Source organism: Homo sapiens, chromosome 12 (assembly GCF_000001405.40).
Source record: "Homo sapiens chromosome 12, GRCh38.p14 Primary Assembly".
Classification (NCBI taxonomy): Eukaryota; Metazoa; Chordata; class Mammalia; order Primates; family Hominidae; genus Homo; species Homo sapiens.
In genome coordinates this window covers 63,562,888-63,586,472 of record NC_000012.12, presented here as the reverse complement: position 1 = coordinate 63,586,472, position 23,585 = coordinate 63,562,888, and the positions used below count along the sequence as shown (strand labels likewise).

Sequence of the window (23,585 nt, the reverse complement as noted above, 5' to 3'; positions counted from 1 at the left end):
ACACCCTCTCCTTCCAGGTTATGCTGAAATTTACTTTCTAGATTGTTGTCTTATCTGTTATGTTTTAAGAAGTCTCTAAACACTTACATTAAAGACACCAGCAATCTTTGGACTTGACTTCAAATTTTACTGATTTATTTTTCCTTGACATGTAGAATTGGCATGCTTTCTGGGTGCTTTCTTACCTGAAAAAATGGCTTTATTTTGCCCTCATATTTGATTGATAGATTGGTTAATAGATATTTATGGGTTTCATTCAACATTTTGTTGACATTGCTTCTTTGTGTTCTAGCATTGAGCATTACAGATGAAAATTCCTATACAGTTTTTCTCTCTGGAAATTCATAAGGTTTGGAGGGGTGATGTGTGTGTGTTGTTGTTCTCTTATTCTTTCACTTTAGCCTCTCTTTTTTGAATTTCTGTTATTGCTTTTATCACATTATCTATTTCTTTTCTTTCTGTGTTCTCAGAGAATATCATCACTGAGTCTTTAATACTGTCAACTTCAGCTGTGTACATTTTGCTCTTCAACTTTCTTTTGAGGCTTTAAATTAGGCAAATATATTTTTCTTAGAATTTCTGAAAACTCCTTTTCACTGGAGCTTATTTTAATTATATGGATGCATTATCCTCTTAAACTTCTGTGAAAACAATAATTGGAGTTTTCATTTGCATTGGCTGTTTCATGAGAGGTCAAGCTTTTTGCTTATTTATTTTGATGTTTCCTTTTCATGATATCTGTGTCTTGGGATTTGGTTGTATATTCACATTTTTAATTAGCTACTTGATTTAAATAAAGTATCAGTAGTTACTTTCAGGGTTCTTGGTGATTATAATAATTACTCACCTACCAGGCTTCTTCCTTGCATGCAGCTCACTACAGGAATCTGTTGTGCCTAGAAGATTTCGGGACAAGTGGAGAAACCCCACTCCGTTAACTGCATACACAGGGAAGGAGCTATGAGGGAGACAGAATAATTTGGTCTCTACTATTACCTTAAGAGACCTTCCCCTGTCTTCGATTTAAAAAAAAACTACTGCATACAAAGGGTAGGAGCTACAAGGGACATAGAATAATTTGGACTCCATTACTACCTTAAGAGACCTTCCCCTGACTTCTCTTTTAAAAAACCTATGAGTCTCTGTACCCCTGAACTTACTTTCCACACCTATTTCTCTCTTCACCCCCAAAATCCATATTAGAATGCCCCTGCAGGCTATAAAGCCTTTCATAAAAGTAAAATACCCAGTCTTTTCAAGAGAACAATAAAATAGGCAGTCTCCTACCTCTTGTCTTACTCTAATATAAACTCCATGAAGATAAGTATTGTATCCATACTGTTCATGCTGCACAGCAGTTGCCCTTATCTGCAGGGCGACGCATCCCAAGACCCCCAGTGGATGCTTGAAACTGCAGAGAGTAACACACGTGATTGCCACCATCGGAACACATTTCTGTTCACGTCTTCCACCCACAGATTTAATGCCTTTTCCATCTTAACTAAGCACTCATCATGGACTGTGGCCATAACTTTTGCAGTTTTAGATGCAACAGCAAAACTAACATTAATTTTTTCTTCTTCTTCACAATTTCATGGGTAGATTTGTTCTTACCGTAGATCTTAGCAACCTCAGCATATGATGTTTTTTCTTTTGAGAACTTTCACCTTTTCTCTTAAAGAAAGCACTTTACAGCTTCTCTTTGGCATATCTCAACTGCCAGCATCACTGCTCTTGAACTTTGGGGCCATTATTAAGTCAGAAAAGGGTTACTTCAAAACAAGCACTGAGATACCACCAGAGTCCATCTGATAACTAAGATGGTAACTACATGACTAACAGGCCGGTGACGTATAGAGCATGGATATGCTGGACAAAGGGGTGAGTCATATCCCAGGTAGGATGAAGCAGGGTGACTTGAGATTTCACTATTCAGTATGGTGCACAATTTAAAACTTAGGAATTGTTTATTTCTTGGAACTTTTCGTTTAATGTTTTTGGACTGCAGTTAGCCACAGGTAACTGAAACTGTGGAAAGTGAGGATTGGAGGATAAGCAGAGACTGTGGTATTCATTTCATTGCACAGTGCCTAGAATACAGTAGGTGTACTATAAATATTTTGTAAAGGGACAACTTTTCTGAAACTAAAAATATTTATGTTTTACCCAATAATTTTTCTTCTGGAAATTTATGCTAAGGAAATATTCAGAGATGCTTACAAAGTTTTATGCATGAGTGTCCATGTTATTTGTAATTGTGAAAAATGAAAATAACTCAAAAGTTTAACAGTGGTCATCTAAAGTATTGTATACACTGTATATATAGGTTGAATAGAAGGTCATCCTATTCATTTATTAATGAGAGGTACAATCTCTAGGGATCTGTAAAATCTATTTTGTCTTAACCAAAGAACAAATTTTTGACATATCTTGAATAGGATGACTATAAATTATGACTTTTAAATTGTTGTAATTTTTGTACTATTATCTGATATTTTTATTTTTATGTATTTTCGTAAGTAGTTTAGAGATAGTCACATTTTAAAAATCTAAGATCAAGCAAATGAAGCTTATTTTTATGTATTCATAGTATAAAAGACCTTCAGTAAATAGGTAATATTTTTGTTTTATTCTAGAAAACAGCTCCTTGAACACAGTGAGGTAAAGCTTTCATTTTAATCTCTGGTAGACTTGTGTATTAAATTGTAGTTTGAGGATAATTGACAAAGGTATAACCTTGCTGCTGATGCACCTTCAGTAGTGAGTTGTTCAGCATTGGTGATAAATTTCTGCTGATCCTTCTCACTCTTTCATCTGCTCTTACTTTTGAATAGTAATAAGGATTTAAAAGCTAGAAGGCTGATTTATGACTATAGTACAGAATTAAATTAAATTGCATTCATTTAACAATAACAAGCATTCAGTTTCTAGCCTGCTGAGCTAATCAGCTACAGTCCATTAGGGCAGGCACCCTTGGCCCTGTGACTGGTGGCCATCTGCCACCACGTAGATTTGCTGGTCAGTCAGTGACAAGCTCAGAAGTGTTGAAGGATACACAAGATACTAAAGTCATGTTCCTGCCCTTCAGTATGGTAATTTTACAAAGGAGACAAATAAGACAACATTTTATATGGTGTAAAATTATTTTGTGGCATAAAAAGGAAAAGATCAGTGTGGGCTGGAAATATTTCCTATTTGATAGAACTTTAAGTGGGTCTTGAGGTAAAGGTCAACTTTACAGGAGTGGGTAACTGAATTTGAACTTAATAGAGATAGTTTATGACACATGTTGAGTATCCCTTATCCAAAATGCTTAGGACTAGAGGCTTTTCAGATTTCAGATTTTATTGAATTTTGGAATATTTACAGTGTAGTTACTAGTTGAGCATCCCTAACCTGAAAACCCAAAATCCAAAATGCTTCAATGAGCATTTGTTTTAGCATAACCTTTGAACATCATATTGGTACTCAAAAGTTTCAGATTTTGGAGCATTGTAGATTTCAGATTTTTGGATCAGGGATGCATTAGTAACTTTGTCACTTTACAGTGAGGCCCACTGTGTTGGTACTCCACCTCCTCACACCACCTCCTGCTCTCCCTAGCTCCTCTGCCTGCTCCATTTTCTTGCCAACTGCACTTATTGCCTTACAGTAGACTATGTAATGGATTTATTTATTTGCTATTTCTATGTATTGTCTGTCTTTCATTACTAAATGTAGTTAAATGTAATGCAAGGACAGAAATTGCTCACTGCTGTATCCGAAGCACCCAGAAGAGTACCTGGAACATAGTAGACATTCGATAAATTATTGCTGAATGAATACTGATAGGCTTATTACTAAGTTAGAAGATCCTTGTCTTAATGAATAATATAGTTTTAATATACTTCATTAATTTAAAAATATGAAAAGTAAAAATGTGATTTTGTCTTATTTGTGTTTTATAGCTGGCTTTTCACACATTGCAGTTGTTAGTGTTTACTGCCCTTGCCATTTTAATTATGAGGCTAAAGATGTTTTTGACACCGCACATGTGTGTTATGGCTTCCTTGATATGCTCTCGACAGGTAAGGGATTCATTCTTGTATAACAATACTATAAAAACTATAGCAGCTATACTTAGTAGTTACTGTGGCTTTGCTGACTAATTCAAAATATAAACACACTAAGTGTTTTTAACTTAACTAAGTTAAATGATTTAAAATATTACTTCATGATTCACTATAAGCAAGAAAAGCAATTTCAAGTGGCTTTGAAAAGTATTTCTGGATTTTAATTGATATTTCTATAACAAGTGATTAGGCAAACATTTCCCCTCTGTTAATATCCTGTCCATGAACATAACCTTTTAGAGTTCAGGTTTGTGTAAGAGTGCCTGGCACAGTGGCTCACACCTGTAATCCCAGCACTTTGGGAGGCCGAGATGGGCAGATCACTTGAGGCCAGGAGTTCGAGACCAGCCCGGCCAACATGGTGAAACTCCATCTCTACTAAAAATACAAAAATTAGCCGGGTATGGTGGCGAGTGCCTGTAATTCCAGCTACCTGGGAGGCTGAGGCAGGAGAATTGCTTGAACCTGGGAGGCAGAGGCTACAGTCAGCCAAGATCGCATCACAGCACTCTAACCTAGGTGACAGAGTGAGACTCTGTCTCAAAAAAAGAAAAAGAGAAAAAAAAGAGTTTCCTGGTGGCCAGGCACAGTGGCTCACACCTGAAATCCCAGCACTTTGGAAGGCCGAGGTGGGCAGATCACTTGAGGTCAGGAGTTCAAGACCAGCCTGGCCAACATGGTGAAACCCTATCTCTATTAAAATACAAAAATTAGCCGGGCATGGTGGTGTGTGCCTGTAATCCCAGCTACTCAGGAGGCTGAGGCAGGAATATTGCTTGAACCCGGGAAGTGGAGGTCGAAGTGAGCTGAGGTCACACCACTGCATTACAGCCTGGGAGACAGAGTGAGACTCTGTCTCAGAAAAAAAAAAAAAAAAAAAAGAGTTTCCTGGTTCACCAAAAGTACCCTGAAATACTCATCCAATACCAGAGTAGATGCAGAGAAATTGCTCTAATATGATCCTGTTTGGCTCGAAGAATCTATAAGAAATTCTGGGGTTCTATCACTGTTATCTAACATACAAAAGAACTAGATAAATTGCTAGAATATTGGGCCTAAGGTACTTCTACAAACACCTTACTTCGTTTTTATTATGAGTGTATAGCCTTAAAATATCATAATGCCTGTTTTCCTGAGAAGAATCTATATATATCATGCTAATAGGGCTTCCCTGTCTACTAACCATGTCCACAAAAGGCAGCCAAGGATGCAAGGATTTAGTTCTAAGATGTTTCACAGTTGTGATTTGTTTATTTTAATCCTTAGTAGTAAATTAGTACTAGAAGGATCAGGTATATCTTCCTTAATTCTTCCCAGGGGAGAGAAAGTTCCATTTTCACCTGGGCCCTGTAATGCCAATATATTCGTTGCTTTAGAAACAATCGGAGATGATAATTCTGTATACATGTGTGCTGATATCAAAGGGTAATTCACATTGGTTTGAGTAACAAGGTGAGAATTTATTGTTGACCCTACGGTACTCTTCATATAAGAACTAGAAATAAACGGTTTCTTTCGTTTCAGCTCTTTGGCTGGCTTTTTCGCAGAGTTCGTTTTGAGAAGGTTATCTTTGGCATTTTAACAGTGATGTCAATACAAGGTTATGCAAACCTCCGTAATCAATGGAGCATAATAGGAGAATTTAATAATTTGCCTCAGGAAGAACTTTTACAGTGGATCAAATACAGTACCACATCAGGTGTGTAGGTATTTGGTTATATGCTAGTTTTATACAAACATACAGACACATTTGTGTATACTATATATAATTATTGTCATTTCTGATATATGTGTGTATGTGTGTATGACAGATTTACAAATAGGCATTCATACTCTCACAGACTTTGAGCAGACTATTGCAATGTCAATCAATTAAACCCTTCCAAAAGGCAATTTTGCACCCCCTTTAAGCCCCTCCCAGATAATTATCAAAGAATTTAAATTAGCACCAGGAAATTAATGATTTTTCATAAGTTATGTCCTTTAACTCTCAGACAGCATTATAGCATTTTAACCATAACAATGACAAATCAAAGAAGTAAGTCTTTAAAAATGAAATTTCACACCTTGTGCCAGGCTACAGCAGAAGATACTTTTGATGGTGGGGAGTTAACCAGCACCGCTTCTGTCACTGCAATCAGTGCTGTCTCCTCTAATTCTGTAAAACAGGTCATTGGCAGAAGAGAAAATCTTGGATATTCTATTTTCTTCACTAAATCATCTCACAGAGATAGTATACATCCTACTTTTAAATACTCCAAAATTTTCTTTTTAGCTTACCTTCTTTTCTTCCTGTTTTTATTCAGAACTACCTCAAGCAGATAGATATTTTTAAATACCTTTCCAGAGAATAAGTCTATAACATTTTCTGTAACTAAATTTGTAAATCAAAGATTATTTTTAATATTTAGAAACTTACTCTGGTACAAGTTCTTCACTATGATTTATTTAAATTTTCTTATGACTCCTGAGCTTGTTTCCTTTTATTTCTTATTTGATAGCCACTTTTTTGCTAATTAACCTTCATTAAGGTAAATCTTTATAAGCTTTAAGTAAGATACTTGGTCTATAGCTTTCAAAGGGTGTAGGTGACAGTGCCTCGTTAAACTGCCAAGCCAGTTTAATTAGAATTTTAAAAGTAATCCCCAACTGACTTTTTCCACATAGGAGCTCAAGGTAATCACTCCCTTTCTTTACTCTCCCTTGCCCCTCCCCAGTTATAGCTATTTTTCCCAAGCTTTTAAAAATAGCTGCCCTTTTAATCTTTTCTTGTGTCTTTCTTTGTTCCAGTGTTTGTATTGGGTTCCTGACAGAGAGCCTACATTTGGCAACTTATCCTTCTAAGATAACTGCCACAAACCCCTGTCTCACTTTTAGATGCCTCTTCTTTGATCTTCTTTTTAATCTGTCTTATTCTCCTTTTAACTACCCTTATTATGAGTTATCTCATGGTTACCACATATTAAAAGCTGTATGAAGTTTTGTAGTATTAGTGGAACTAGTGCTTATATTGAGGTCTGCCATATACGGTTGTATAGTTTGTGCACTGCACAAAGGTGACCAATTGAGAGGATAAGTGAAAGCTTAAATCCAGCTTGTGGTCCACTCATCAAGCCATGTATAATGGGGCTCTGTCAGGTCAGGGGAATACCTTTTTCTAATCTGTATAGTAGGCTAAATGGAGACTTCCATACAGTGATAGGAAAATATCTGATTTTTCCTTGTTAATGCTCATTTACTTCACAGCCAAAGAGACAGAAAGTGGAGTGGGAGGGTATTTCTTCCTCTCCGTCTGCCATAGATGACAACTCAGTGGGTCCAGCTCTTGCTGGACAGGTGTGCCTAGTTTTTTTTGGAAGACCCTGGCCCTGGGCTTTCAATTCTTCTTGCTCAGCATTTCCCAACCTTAGCACAGTTGACATTGAGGCTGTCCTATGTATTACAAGAAATCCTTGGCCTCTATCTACAAGATGCCAACAGCATCTCCTCCCTCCTCCCCATAGCATGACATCGAAAAGTGTCTCCAGAAGTTGATAGTGCTCCCTAGGGAGCAAAATCATGCCTGCCTGAGAACCACTTCTCTAGCTTAACAGCTTGTCATCATAAATTATTGAGTCTCCAATAATAAATACACATTCTTTGACTAGCTTACATATTTTCAAATTTGAGGCATATAAAGAAATTTTCATTCAAAGTTGCACTTAGAATGCTTAGTTATACTGGAAGGTAAACACTCAGGGTTCTTAAAGTTTTTAATTTATGTGGGTACAGAGCAGGTGTATATATTTATGGGGTAGATGGGATATTTTGATACAGGCATACAATGTGTAATCATCACATCAGGGTAAATGGAGTATCCATCACCTGAAGCATTGATCCTTCGTGTTACAAACAATCCAGTTATACTCTCTCAGTTATTTTTAAATGTGCAGTAAAATTTTGTTGACTATAGTCACCCTTCTGTGTTACCAAACACTACATCTTATCCATTCTATTTTGTTTGTGCACATTAACCATCCTCACTTCCCCTCCACCCCCTCACTATCCTTCCCAGCCTCTGGTAACCATCATTCTATTCTTGATCTCCATGAGTTCAACTCTTTTAATTTTTAGCTCCCACAAGTAAGAACCTGCAAAGTTTGTCTTTCTGTACCTGGCTTATTTCAATTAATGTAATGACCTCCAGTTCCATCCATGTTATGGATAGGATCTCATTCTTTTTTTATGACAGGTTCTCATTCGTTTTTATGGCTGAATAGCACTGCGTTGTGTCTACATACCACATTTTCTTTATCCATTCACCTGTTGATGGACACTTAGGTTGCTTCCAAATCTAGACTATTGTGAGAAGTGCTGCAATAAACATGGGAGTGCAGATACCTCTTCTAAATATTTATTTCCTTTCTTTGGGGTATATATCTAAGAGTAGGATTGCTGGATCATTTTGTAACTCTATTTTTAGTTTTTTGAGGAACCTCCAAACTCTTCTACATAGTGGTTGTGCTAATTTACATTTTCACCAAAAGTGTATGAGAGTTCCCTTTTCTCCACATCGTTTCCTGTCTTTTGGATAACAGCCATTTGTTATTGCCTGTCTTTTGAATAATAGCCATTTTAACTGGAGTGAGATGCTATTTCACTGTAGTTTTGATTTGCATTTCTCTGATGATCAGTGATGTTGAGCACCTTTTCATGTACCTGTTTGCCACTTGTATGTTTTCTTTCGAGAAATGTCTATTCAGATCTTTTGACCATTTTTAAAGTAGATTTTTAGATTTGTTGTTTGAGCTCCTTATATATTCTGGTTATTAATTCCTTGTCAGATTGGTAGTTTGCAAATATTTTTGCTTATTCTTTGGGTTGTCTCTTCACTTTGCTGATTGTTTCCTTTGCTGTGCAGAAGCTTTTACACTTGATGTGAACCCATTTGTTCATTTTTGCTTTGGTTGCCTGTGCTTCCCAGGTATTTACTCAAGAAATCTTTTTCCAAACCAAAGTCCTGGAGAGTTTCCCCAAAGTTTTCTTGTAGTAATTTCAGAGTTTGAGGTCTTAGATTTAAGGCTTTAATCCATTTGGATTTGAGTTTTGTATATGGCAAGAGATAGGGGTGTAGATTCATTCTTCTGCATATGGATATTCAGTTTTCCCAACACCATTTATTGAAGAGATTGCCCTTTCCCCAGTGTATGTTTTTGGGACTGCTGTAAAAAATGAGTTTACTGTAGATGTATGGATTTCTTTCTGGGTTCTCCATTCTGTTCCACTGGTCTGTGTGTCTGTTTTTATGGCAGTACCATGATGTTTTGGTTACTATACTTCTGTAATATAATTTGAAGTCAGGTATTGTGATTCCTTCAGTTTTGTTCTTCTTGCTCAGGGTAGCTTTGGCTATTCTAGGTCTTTTGTGTTTTCGAATAAATAAGGATAGTTTTTTCTATCTCTGTGAGGAATATCATTAGTAGTTTGATGGGGATTGCATTGAATCTGTAGATTGCTTTGAATAGTATGGACATTTTAACAGTATTGATTCTTCCAATGCTTGAACATGGAATAGCTTTCCATTTTTTGTATCTTCTTCAATTTCTTTCTCCAGTTTTGTATAGCTTTCATTCTAGAGATCTTTCATTTCTTTGGTTAATTTCTAGGTATTTAATTTTATGTGTGGCTACTGTAAATGGAATTACTTTTTAAATTTTCTTTCTCAGGTTGTTCTCTGTTGGCATATAGAAACGTTAATGATTTTTGTATGATTTTGTATCCTACAACATTACTGAATTTATCAGTTCTAATAGTTTTTTTTTTGGTGGAGACTTTAGGTTTTTCTAAATATAAGATCATATCATCTGCAAACAATGATAATTTGGCCTCTTCCTTTCAAATTTGGATGCCCTTTCTTTCTTTCTCTTGTCTGATTGCTCTATTTAGGATTTCCAGTACTATGTTGAATAATGTGGTAAAAAGTGAGCATCCTTGTCATGTCCCAGGTCTTAGAAGAAAGGCTTTCAGTGTTTTCTCACTCAGTATGATACTGCTTGTGCATTTGCTGTATATAGCTTCTTTATGTTGATTAATGTTCCTTCTATACCCAGTTTATTTGAAGGTTTTTATCATGAAGGTATGTTGAATTTTACCAAATGATTTTCCCGCATCTATGGAGATGAGATGATCATATGATTTTTCCCCTTCATTGTGTTGATATGACGTATCACATTGATTTGCTACGTTGAACTATCTTTGCATCCCTGAGATAAATCCTATTTGGTCATGATGAATAATCTTTTTAATGTGTTATTGAATTCAGTTTGCTAGTATTTTGTTGAGGATTTTTGCATTAACATTAATCAGAGATTTTGGCCCGTAGTTTTCTTTTTTTGATGGTTCTTTGTATGGTTTTGGTATTAAAGTGATATTGGTCTCATACAATGGGTTTGGAAGTATTCCCTCTTCCTCTATTTCCTGGAATCGTTAGAGTAGGATTGATATTAGTTCTTCTTTAAATGTTTGATAAAATTCAGCAGTGAAGCCATCAGGTCCTGGGCTTTTCTTTGCTGAGAGACTTTTGATTAGAGATTTGATCTCATTACCTGTGATTGGTCTGTTCAGGTTTTGGATTTCTATATAGTTCAATCTTGGTAGGTTTTATGTATCTAGGGATTTATCCATTTCTATGTTTTCCGATTTATTGGCATACAGTTGCTCATGGTAGTCTCTGATGATCCTTTAATTTCTGCAATATTGGTTATAATGTCTCCTTTTATTACCTCTGATTTTATTTATTTGGGCCTTCTGTCTTTTTTTCTTAGTCCGGCTAAAGGTTTGTTAATTTTATCTTTTCAGAAAACCAGTTGATCTTTTATACTGTTTTCTTCATTGCAATTTCATTTATTTCTGCTCTGATCTTTATTATTTTATTTCTCTTACTAACTTTGGGTTTTGTTTGCCCTTTTCTAGTTTTTTAAGAAGCATCATTGAGTTGTTAATTTGAGGTTTTTCTTCTTTTTTGATGTGGGCACTTACAGCTATAGACTTCCCTCTTAATACTGCTTTTGCTGTATCCCATAGGTTTTGATGTGTTGTGTTTTCATTATCGTTTGTTTCAAGAACATTTTCAATTTCCTTCTTGATTTCTTTATTAACCTACCAGTCATTCAGGAGCATATTCTTTAATTTGTATGTTTGTAGAGTTTCCAAAATTCCTTTTGCTACTGATTTCTAGTTTTTTTTTCCATTGTGGTCAGAGAAGATACATTATATTGTCTCAATTTTTAAAAAATGTTTTAAGGCTTGTTTTGTGGCCTATCCTTGTTTTGTGGTCTATCCTTGAGGAATGATCCATGTGCTGAGGAGAAGGATGTGTATTCCTTAGATGTTGGATGAAATGTTCTGTAAGTATCTATTAGGTCCTTTTGATCTATAGTGCAGATTAAGTTCAGTGTTTCTTTGTTGATTTTCTGTCTAGATGACCTGTCCACTGCTGAAAGTGTGGTGTTGAAGTCTCAGGCTATTATTGTATAGGGATCTGTCTCTCTCTTTTGCTCTGATAATATTTGCTTTATATATCCGGGTGCTCCAGTATTGGGTGTATATATATTTACAATTGTTATATACTCTTGCTGAATGAACCCCTTTATCATTATATAATGACTTTCTTTGTCTCTTTTTATAGTTTTTGTCTTGTAAGCTATTGTGTCTGATGTAAGTATGGCTATTCCTGCTCTTTTATGGTTTCCATCGGCATGGAATATAATTTTCCATCCCTTTGTTTTCAGTCTATATTTGCCTTTATAAGTAAAGTGTGTTTCTTGTAGGTAACAGATTCTTAGTGTTTTGTTTTATTATTCAGCTACTCTTTGTCTTTTGATTGGAGAGTTCAGCCCATTTACCTTCAGTGTTATTATTGTTAAGGACTTGCCCCTGCCATTTCGTTATTTGTTTTCTCATTGTTTTGTGGTCTTCTCTTCCTTCCTCTTTTTCTTTCATTGAAGGTGATTTTCTCTGGTGGTGTGTTTTAGTTTATTGCTTTTTATTTTTTGTACATCCATTTTATGTTTTTAAACTTGAGGTTACCATGAGGCTTGCAAATAATATCTTATTATTTGCAATATTTTAAACTGATGACAACACTGATTGCATAAACAAATAAGCCAAAAGAAAGCTAATAAAAATTCTAAACTTTAACTTCATCTCCCCACTTTTTACCTTTTTCTTGTTTCTATTTATATCTTATTGTACTGTCTCTTGAAAAGTTGTTGTATTTATTTTTTATTGGTTCATCTTTTCGTCTTTCTACTTATCATATAAGTAGTTTATATACCATAATGACACTGCTATAATATTGTGTTTCTCTGTGTACTTACTATTACCAGTGAGTTTTGTACCTTCCGATTATTTCTTCCTCATTAATGTCCTTTTCTTTCAGATTGAAGATCTCCCTTTAGCATTTCTTATAGGTAGGTCTGGTGTGAATGAAATTTCACAGCTTTTGTTTCACTGGGAAGTCTTCTCCTTTAGGTTTGAAGGACATTTTCTCTGGATACACTACTCTCAGGTAAAAGGTTTTTTCCTTCACTTTAAATATGTCATGGCATGCTCTCCTGGCCTGTAAGGTTTCCACTGAAAAGTCTGCTGCCAGATCTATTAGATCTCCATTGTATGTTATTTGTTTCTTTTCTCTTGCTGCTTTTAGGATCCTTTCTTTATCCTTGACCTTTGGGAGTTTGATATTAAATGACTTGAGTTAGTCTTTGGGTTAAATCTGCTTGGTGTTCTATAACCTTGTGCTTGAATATTGATATTTTCTCTAGCTTTGAGAAGTTCTCTGTTACACTTTTGAATAAACTTCCTACTGCTGTCTCTCTCTACCTCCTCTTTAAGGCCAATAACTCTTAGATTTTTCCCTTTAAAGGCTACTTCTAGATCTCGAAAGTATGCTTCATTCTTCTTTATTCTTTTTTCACCTCCTCTGTGTATTTTCAAGCAACCTGTCTTTAAGCTCACTAATTCTTTCTTCTGCTTGATCAATTCTGCTATTAAAAGACTGATACATTCTTCAGTATGTCAGTTGCATTTTTCAGCTCCAGAATTTCTGCTTCTTTTTAATTATTTCAATTTATTTGTTAACTTTATCTGATAAGATACTAATTCCTTCTCTGTGTTATCTTGAATTTCGTTGACTTTCCTCAGCACGGCTATTTTGAATTCTCTGTCTGAAAGGCCACATATCTCTGTCTGTCCAGGATTGGCCCCCTAGTGCCTTATTTAGTTTGTTTGGTGAGGTCATGTTTTCCTGCATGGTTTTGATGCTTGTGGATGTTTGTCGGTGTCTGGGCATTGAAGAGTTAGGTATTTATTATAGTTTTTGCAGTCTGGGCTTGTTTGTACCCATCCTTGTTGGAAAGGCTTTCCAGGTATTCAAAGGGACTTTGGTGTTGTGATCTAAGTTTCTGGTCGCTGCAGCTGTATCTGCACTAGGAGGCACCCCATGCCCAGTAATGCTGAAGCTATTGCAGACTCTTAGAGGTACTACCTTGGTGGTCTTGGATAAAATCCAGAATTCTCAGGATTAGCAGGCAGAAGCTCTTGTTCTCTTCCCTTACTCTCTCCCATATGGAGTCTCTCTCTCTCTCTTTCTCTGTGCTAAGCTGCCTGGAGCTGGGGGTGGGGTGTGATATAAGCATCTCTGTGGCCACCACTACTGGGAATGTGTTGGGTCAGACCTGAAGCTAGCACAGCACTGGGTCTTACCCAAAGCTCATTGTAACTACTGCCTGGCCACCACCTATGTTTGCTCAAGGTGTAGGGCTCAACAGTCAGCAGGTGGCAAAGCAAACCAGGCTGGTGACCTTCCCTTCAGGGTGGCAAGATCCCCCAGGTCATAGTCAGATCCAGAGATGCTGCTGTCCAGGAGCCAGGGCCTGGAGTCAGACACCTTAGAAATCTACCTGATGCTCTATCCTACTGCAGCTGAGCTGGTGCTGAAACCACCAGACAAAGTCCTTCCCACCCTTCCTTCCCCTTTCCCCAGGCAGAGGGGTCTCTCCTCATTTCCACCACTACCACAGGCCCATGGGAGGTAGTGCCTGGCTACCGCCGACATTCACTTAAGGCCCAAGGACCTTTCAGTCAGCTTGTGGTGAGTGCTGCCAGGCCTGGAACTCACCCTTCAGGGCAGTGGGCTCTCTTCCAGCCCAGGGCAGGTCCAGAAATGCCACCCAAGAGCCAAGGCCTGGAATCGGGGACCACAAGAGCCTGCTTGGTGCTGCTCCCCACTGCGGCCAAGCTGGTACCTAAGCTGATTTTTGGTTCTTATGAAAGTGCTTTTTGTGTAGATCATTATCACATTTGGTGTTCCTGAGGGGAGGATGAACAGTGGAGGCTTCTACTTGGTCATCATGCTCCACCTCCTCTCCAATGTAGTTTTTTATAGTAGATCTGAATAATGTCTTATCTTTGTTACTGATTTTATGGTGCTGATGAAAAATGATAGTAACCTTCACAATTTTGTAATTGTTTTTTATACAAAAGTACCAGGAAGTAAGCATTTGGTCTTCTGGTATTTCAAGAGATGAAATGGAAGCCAGATAGATTTTGATGTATCTCTAGTTATGACCAAATTTATACATGTTATTACTCCAAAAAGTACTAGCAGCAAGTAATGAAATGATTTCATGGCATGTATAAATGGTGTCAAGTCAAATGGTAACTCTGAGAACTTAAAGATGATCTGCGGGAAGAAAACAATGCTTTCCTTTTTTATGGCACATCCGCAGGACCACAGTTCACCAGCCACAAAAGTCATTGGAAAAAATGTCCCATGAGACTTGCCCTTCATAGCAGTCTCTCAGCTCCTGGCATTTCACATTATTGGAACAGATGTGACATTTTACATTCTTTTTGTTTCATGTGTGTCTGTAGTCCTGCTGTTAGCATGGTACTCTAGCATAGCAGGAAGCTTGAGTGAAGCAGCTAAGAGGGCAGGCTCTGGAACTTCCTAGCTGTACAGTCTTGGGCAAGTCACTTAACTTGGCTGTGTCTCTTCATCATCTACAACAGCAGTCTGCAACCTTTTTGGCACCAGGGACTAGTTTCGTGGAAGACCATTTTTTCCACAGAATTGGGGGTAGGGGGTGGTTTCTGGATGACATTGTTCCACCTCAGACCATCAGGCATTAGATTCTGAGTGCACAACCCAGACCCCTCACATGCTCAGTTTGTAGATTCTACAAAGTAAGAACAGAGGACCTACCCCTTAGAACTGTGAAGATTAGGTTATTTCTTGTTAAAATATGGAGCACAATTTCTAGCCCCAAGATAGTATTTAACAAAAGTCAGCTATTATTGTAGTAGATAATGAATAACTATTGAGTCAATAAAAGAATGAGGTCCATGGTCATGTAAATAGGCATCATCCTTCTTAATTTGGGTTCACATATTAGAGGTAAGTTTAACTTCTGATTTTCTTTAAAACATTTAATTGAAGAATATATCCTTTTTTTTTTTTCAGATGCTGTCTTTGCAGGTGCCATGCCTACAATGGCAAGCATCAAGCTGTCTACACTTCATCCCATTGTGAATCATCCACATTACGAAGATGCAGACTTGAGGTTGGCAGCTGATGAGTATTTCTTCAAGACTCACTTGGCAACTCCCAATTCTTAGGAATTGGGAAAATTTTACACACACACACACACACACACACACACACACACACACAAACTCATCCTCATTTTCATACTGGAAGTTAAAAAAAAATGACAATAACCATCCAGAAATGACAATACGTACCTGTTGCCTCTGGAGCAAGCAGACCTCTGAAAAACTGAAAAATGCAAAAGCCAGTTTTTCCCAAAGTGACAACTGTGTCACATATTTATGATGTGTGTATGTATTCCAGTAAAACTACTAGGTAGTTGGAAGAGTAGGTAGGATGGATTTTACTCACAGCCATGGTTTGCCAACCCCTGCTCTACACCACAAGCCCCACTCTGATTTAAGAAATGATTTCTAGATCTTACTGGTGGCCAATGACTAGCTTTTTGTGACAGGTAGAAAAAGTACATGAAAGTTGCTATTATATATTACGTGCTTTCATGAAAATTTAGAGTATTTTTACTAGTCGATTATGAGAACTCTAGTTTCCATTGATGTCTAAAAGTTTTGCTTTCCTTAAATGGCTGGTTTAAAAAATTATTTTGGTTATTCTAGTAGTTGTCAGGGTAATCGTTTTTAAAAGTGGATTTTTGGCCTATTGTTAGAGGCAAATGTTTAAATTATTTAAAAGTTTTAGGTCTGCTGTCTAGGAGCCAGGGCTTGGAGTCAGACACCTTAGAAATGTACCTGATGCTCTCTCTGTTCTACTGCGGTGAACTGGCGTGGAAACCACTGTGGTGACTGAGCATCCCATATGCTTGAAATTCTAAGCAACATCCAATGCATAAGTGATAGTTTGTTAGGATTTTGTAAGAACTCCCACTACAGTCAAATCACCTATTGTACCATATTTTGGTGACCATCCCCATTTCTCAAGATTCTGCGAAGGTGCTTTTCCTACCTCTTCTGACACCCTGGATGCCCATTGTCTAAGTGTTCTACTTGATACACTAAATTTCAATTCATGTATTTGTCAGAGCTTCTTTAGATGAAATTAAGCATTGAAAGATGTGTTTTTCACTACATTCAGTCTCTGTCAGAATATATTCTCTGAAAACTGTGAATTATGAGAAGAAAATTGTATATCCTAAGCTGCTCTCTGCTACCCAGTACAACTTTAGACTATCTTATACAGTAATGAGCAGTATATGCAAAATTAAATTGCTGTAAGTTTTATTACATTCAAAATATAAGTAGGAATGTGGAAACTGCCATCCCCAAAATAATTGATGCTGTTTTGAGTCATGTATATCGGTGTTCCATCCAGTGAGTATTGAGATTTCAATTTGCTAGTAAGATTTTTTTAGTCTATTCTATTATCATTTATTTTAAAATCTTTTAAATTATTGTTTAAATTTAAAGGGCTCGGACAAAAATAGTTTATTCTACATATAGTCGAAAATCTGCCAAAGAAGTAAGAGATAAATTGTTGGAGTTACATGTGAATTATTATGTTTTAGAAGAGGCATGGTGTGTTGTGAGAACTAAGTGAGTATTAACCCTATGCTATCTGATATGGTATATTTTTGAGCAACAAATGTTTCACTTTATTATAGTAGTCCTGATTCTTTAAGAATTTTTATTTTAAATTTATTAAAATATTATCCTGGTACCTTAGTTTAAATTATTTCATCTAGAGACATAAAACTATACTATCAATGAAGTAGAATTTAATTCCAAACATTATAGTATATTTAATATCCTGATTTTTCAATTTAACATCTTCCACTTAGCTTTTTTCATAATTTTTGAAATATTTATGAAAATTTTTATTAGATATCTGAAATATGGATTTGAATTTACAACAAAGTGAGATATTGGCATTCTGTATTATAGCTGAATTATATTGGATTTGTAAGACTTAAAAGAAAAGTGACAAAACCCAAAATGACATAAGGAAAACATTCCTAATTAAAATTTTTTAATTTCTGAATTTCGAATCTCTAAAAATCATAAAATTCTAAGGTGTGTAATTGATCTTATGAGGCCTTTGTTTAGGCTCCTAAGCACAGATATTAGCTGCTGCACATGACAGGAAATTCAGGCACATTAATTGTCTCCTAGAATGACACATTGGCAATCAGAAGAACAAAACAGGTTCTACAGTCACTTCAGTATATCATTTACAATGTGCAAAAAGTTTCAGAGATGCAAACTAAAATGAGAAAGTATGACCAATACTCTGAAAAAAATAAGTTAATAGAAACCGATTCAAGTAGGTCCAGATGTTGGATTTAGCAGCCAAAGACTGCAAAGCCACTATTACAAATACATTCAAAGGCTTAAGAAAAATGTATTCAATGAATTAAAAGAAAACATGGTATCCATGAGTGAAGAGCTATGGAATCTCAGCAGAGAAATAGAAACACTCCAGCCCCCACGGAAATTCTAGAGCTGAAAAGTATAATAAATGAAATGAAAATCATTTAAATGTACTCAACAACAATTTTGAGATGAAAACAGAACATTTGAACAGAAAATGCAGTGAATTTGAAGATAGATCAAGAGAGAATAGTTAATCAAAAGAACAGGAGCCAAAAAGATTGAAAAATAACCAAAGTCACAGACCTATGTAACATTAAGTAGTTCAACACATGCATAATTTTAGTATTAGATGTAATGAAAAAAAGAACATTACCGAAAAAATATTGAAGAAATGTTGGCCAAAAATTTCTCAAGTTTGATAAAAGCTACTAACTTAGAGATCCGCTAAGCTCAACAAATCCAACTGAGTGAAGCCCAAAGAAAACCAAAGCAAGGAACATTATAGTCACAACGGTAAAATCAAAGATTAAGAGAAAATCTTGAAAATAAGAGAAAAAAATGATGTGCTATATAAACATCTGACTTCCCAACATAAATAGTGGAAATTATCAGACACTGGAATGATTATTCAAAGTGCTGAAGAAGAAAAATCAACAATTCTCTATTTAATGAAACTATCTTTTTAAAATGGAGGCCAAAAATACATTTTCCAGATCAACAAAATCTAAGATAATTTGTTGGTAACAGGTTTATACTTCAAGATGGACAAGAAGTTCTATCAGCTGCTGAGAAATGATGCCAGATGGTAACTCAGATATACAAGAAATACTCAAATGTGCTGGAAATGGTAAATATGCAGATATTAATCACTATACGTTTTTCTTCTCTGAAAATCTTTAAAAGACATTATTTAAGGCAAAGGTGATACCATTATATTTTTTAGTTTATGACAGAAATTAAATATACATGTAGCACAAAAATTGAGTAAACTGTGGAAATGTACGATTTACTAGAAATAACCCAATTTAAATGGTAAGTAAATCATGATATGTTAAAGATGCTTGTTGTCATCCCTATCAAAACCACTCAAAAAATAAATAAAACAGTGGGGAAAAAAAGAGCATAATGGCAAGCCTAGATATGGATAAGCCTGGATACATTAAGTGAAATAAGTCAGCCACAGAAAGATGAATAGTCCATGTTGTCACTCATGTGGAAGCTCAAAGAAGTAGCTCATAGAAGTAGAGTAGAATTGTGGTAATTAGAGGCTGAGTGGGAAGGGTAGGGAGGAGAAGAAGATAAGGAGAGGTTGGTTAAGAGATACAAAACTACAGATAAATAGAAGGAATAAATTATAGTGCTCTCTGGCACTGTAGAGTGAATATTAGTTAACAGTAATTTATCGTTATATGTCAAGAAAGCCAGAACAGAGGATTTTGAATGTTCCCAGCACAAACAGATGGTAAACGTTTGTGGTGATGGATAGCCTAATTACCCTGATTTGATCATTACACATTGTAATTATGCATTGAAATATCACTCTATACTCCATAAATATGTACAAGTATTACTTGTCAAGTAAAAGTAAAAGGGGAAAAACCCTAAACATATAACTAACCTAAGACCCAGCAATTGTATTGGGCATTTTTTCCCAGAAAGGTGGAAAGTTGTGTTCATACAAAATTCTGTAGAAAAATGTCTATAGCAGCTTTATTTGTAATAGCCTAAACCTGAAACAACCCAGATGTTTTTCGCAAGGTGAATGATTAAATAATAGTGATCTATTCATACCATGGAATACTGCTCAGCAATAGGGTCAAACTATTGATACACTCAAGATCCTGGATGAATCTCCAGAGAATTGTTTGAATGAAGAAAAGACAATCCCCAAAGGTTACATACTGTATGATTCCATTTGTATAACTGTCTTCAAATGACAAAATTATAGATATGGATGATTTGTGGTTGCGAGGGGTTAGGGTGGGGTGGGAATGTGGGGGGAGTATAGTATGTGTGGCTATACAAGGGATCTCTGTGGTGATGGAAATGCTCTCTTTCACCATTCTGTCAATGTGAATTATCTGGCTGTGATATTATACAAATGTTCAAAATGTTACCATGGTGGAGGACACTGTCTAAAGACTGTACAAGAGCTACTTGTATTATCTCTCACTTAATGTGGATCTCCAAATGTCTTGAAATAAAAAGTTTTTTTAAAAAAACAAAAGAGCACTATAGCAAGCCTATATCAAACCATATCAGTAATTTCAAAGTGAAAGAGGACTAAATTCTTCCAAACAAAAGGTGGAGATTGGCAAACTGAATACAAGAGCAAAACCTATCTATGGACTGCCTGCAAGAGGTGCATTTTAAATACAGATATGTATATTGGCTGAAGGAAAAAGAATGGAAAAGATATCATGTGAGTAAACATTAGAAAAGCTGAAGTGAAAAATGTATGAATATCAGAGAAGATAGATGTTAAGACAAAGAATATTACTAGAAATGACTATGTTTTATAATGCAAAATAGTTCAGTACAGGAGAAAGATACAATAATTTGAGTGCATATGAACTTAAAAGAGAATTTCAAAATATATGAAGCAAAAATTGACAGAACCCAAAAGGCAACAAACAAGATTAACATGGAATTATAAAAATCACTCAATCCAAAATAAGGCAGAAGAAGTGGAAAAGGGAGATGAAGATCAGATGGAACAAAGAAAACACTGAGATGACAGACTTAAATCTAACCATATCAATTATCACATTAAGTGTAAATGGACTTGTGGTAGGCTGAATAATGAGCCCCCCACGATGGCCATGTCCTAATTCCCAGAAATTGTGAATTACGTTACTCACATGGAAAAAGGAAATTTGCAAATGTGATTAAATTAATGCTCATGAGATGTGGAGATTATCCTTATTATCCAGGTAGGACAAATGTAATCACAAAGTCTTTATAAGGAGGAGGCAAACGAGTAAGAGATCAAAAAGGCGATGTGATGGTAGAAGCAGAAGTTGGAGTGATATAAGGCCACAAGCCAAGGAAGGAGGCCAGCTTCTAGGGCTGGAAAAAGCAAGGAAGTGGATTTTCTTCTAGAGCCTCCTGAAGGATTGGAGTCCTGCCAATACTGTGATTTTAGACTTACGAGCTCCAAACTTTGAAAGAGAATAAATATATGTTGCTTTAAGCAACTGTTTGTGGTAATTTGTTATAGCAGCAATAGGAAACGAATATAGCTCTAAACACCACAAATGAAAAGCAAGAACTGTCAGATTGCACAGCAAAGCAAGACCCTACTATAGGCTACTTTCAAGAAATTTACTTAAATATAAAGAAACGAAGAGGTTAAAAGTTAACAGATAGGAAAAGGACATGTGATGCTACTACTTGTCAGTGAAAGCTGGTGTGACTGTAATAACATCAAAGTATATTTGAATGCTAAGAATATTATCAAGGTTAAACAAGGATTTTTAAATGAAGAAGGGATCTATATTTCAAGAGGATGTAGCAACCCTGAACATTTATGCACTTAGATAACAGAGCTTCAAAAATATGAAATACAACTGATAGAACTTTAGGAAAAATAGACAAATCTACAGTATAGTTAGAAATTTTAATGGCCTTCTCTAAATAATTTGTAGAACAAATAAAAAGAAATTTGGCAAGAATATGGAAGACTTGAATGATGCCATCAACCAATATGACCTAATTGACATTTATAGTACATACCACCCTAGAACAGCAAAATAGACATTCAAGCACACGCAGACTATTTATCAAAAAAGACCATTTTCTAGGCCACAAAGCAAGTATTGACACATTTAAAATACTTTAGATCATGTAAAATACAATCTCTGACTACAATGAAATTAAATTAGAAATCAGTAACAGAATTCTATATGGAAATTCCCTCAAATGTTTAGAAACTAAGTAATACACTTCCAGATAATCCATGGTCAAGAAGAAACAAAAGGAGGGTTAGTTTCAACGTATGTTGACCTAAGGGAAGATGAGAACACCATCCCGCTATTTGTGGGATGCAGATACAGCAGTAGGGAGATTTGTTTTTATGTTGAATGCCCATAATAGAAAAAGAAGAAAGGCCTCATATCAGTCACTCAGCTTCACCTTAAGGAACTAGAAAAAAAGAATAAGTAAACTCCAAAGTAAGGAGAAGAAAAGAAAGCATAAAGATTAGAATCAAAATCAGTGTGTATTTCCTCCTAAAACAGGGAAAAGTCAGTAAAACCAAACACTGATTCTTGAGAAGATTAATAAAATTGATAAATTCCTACCCGAACTAAAAGATTGAAGACAGAAATTACTAGTATCAGGAATAAGAAAGATTTTATCACTACAGGATCTGAAGAAATGAAAAGCATAATGAGGGAGTTTTGGGAACAACTTTATTCCACTAAGTAGGACAAAATAGATAAAATGGACAAGTTCCTTGAAAGATGCAAAATCAAAGCTCACTTAAGAAATAGAAAATCTTATATCTATTACCTTATTATGAATGACCTTGTATCTATTAATAAAATTATATTTGTAGTAAAAAGAATGGTCACAAAGAAAACTTCAAGACAGATATCTTCACTGGAAATAATTCCAATTCTACAAACTATTCCAGAAAATTCAAAAGGAGGGATTACTTCCCAACTGGTTCTGTGAGGTCAGCATTATCCTGATACCAACATGAGAGAAACATTACAATAAAAGGAAACAACCAATCAAAATTTATCATGAACACATATGTGAAATTTTTAAGTAAAATTGCAACAAATGAATCTAGCAATATATTAAAGAAAGACAATACATAATGTACAAGTGGAGTTTATCCCAGGAATGCAAAGTTGTCTCACTATTTGAAAACCAATCAAGTGAAGTCACCATAGTAACAAACTGAAAAAGAAAGACCGCATCATCGCGCATCATAGTCTCGTACATTCAGGAAAAAGTATTTGACACAATTCAGTATCCATAACTGATTAAAAACCCTCAGCAAACTAGGAGTAGAAGGTAACTTGCTACTAAGAATCCAAGAATATAAAATTTCTGGAAGAAAATATGGAAGAAAATTATTGTAACCTTGGATTAGGCTAAGATTTCTCAGATACAGTAACATAATCATGATCCACAAGAGAACACATTGATAAATAGGACTTCATTAAAACTGTAAACCTCTGCTTTTTTATAAACAGTGTTAGGAAGAATTAAAAGATAAACCACAGTCTGGGAGAAAATATTTTCAAAGCCTATGTCTGATAAAGGACTTTCTCTAGATGTATAAAAAACTCTCAAAACCCAATAATAAGAAAACAACCCAATTAAAAATGGACAAAATAGGCGCAGTGGTTGGCTCACGCCTGTAATCCCAGGATTTGAGGAGGCTGAGGCGGGTGGATCACCTGAGGTCAGGAGTTCGAGATCAGCCTGGCCAACATGGCGAAACCCCATCTCTACTAAAAATACAAAAAGTTAGCCAGGTGTGATGGTGGGCGCATATAATCCCAGCTACTCGGGAGGCTGAAGCAGGATAATTACTTGAACCTA

General features: G+C 35.8%; 1 protein-coding gene across 17 annotated transcripts in view; it reads left to right on the top strand.

Annotated features, from left to right (window-relative positions):
- Window positions 1-23,585, top strand: part of DPY19L2 (dpy-19 like 2) — a 109,893-nt gene that overhangs the window by 82,333 nt on the left and 3,975 nt on the right. For 10 of the 17 annotated variants that reach the window (XM_047428722.1, XM_011538215.3, XM_024448947.2 and 7 more), the window contains 5 exons: window positions 2,637-2,661; window positions 3,948-4,067; window positions 5,637-5,811; window positions 15,616-15,715; window positions 17,124-17,249. In XM_047428722.1, the coding sequence (XP_047284678.1) occupies window positions 2,637-2,661; window positions 3,948-4,067; window positions 5,637-5,811; window positions 15,616-15,715; window positions 17,124-17,249 (546 nt within the window). Of the gene's footprint in view, window positions 1-2,636; window positions 2,662-3,947; window positions 4,068-5,636; window positions 5,812-15,615; window positions 15,721-17,123; window positions 17,250-18,773; window positions 18,874-23,585 lie in introns of those variants that run through there. The other 7 variants (XM_047428727.1, XM_024448949.2, XM_047428721.1 and 4 more) reach the window with 6 other exon arrangements.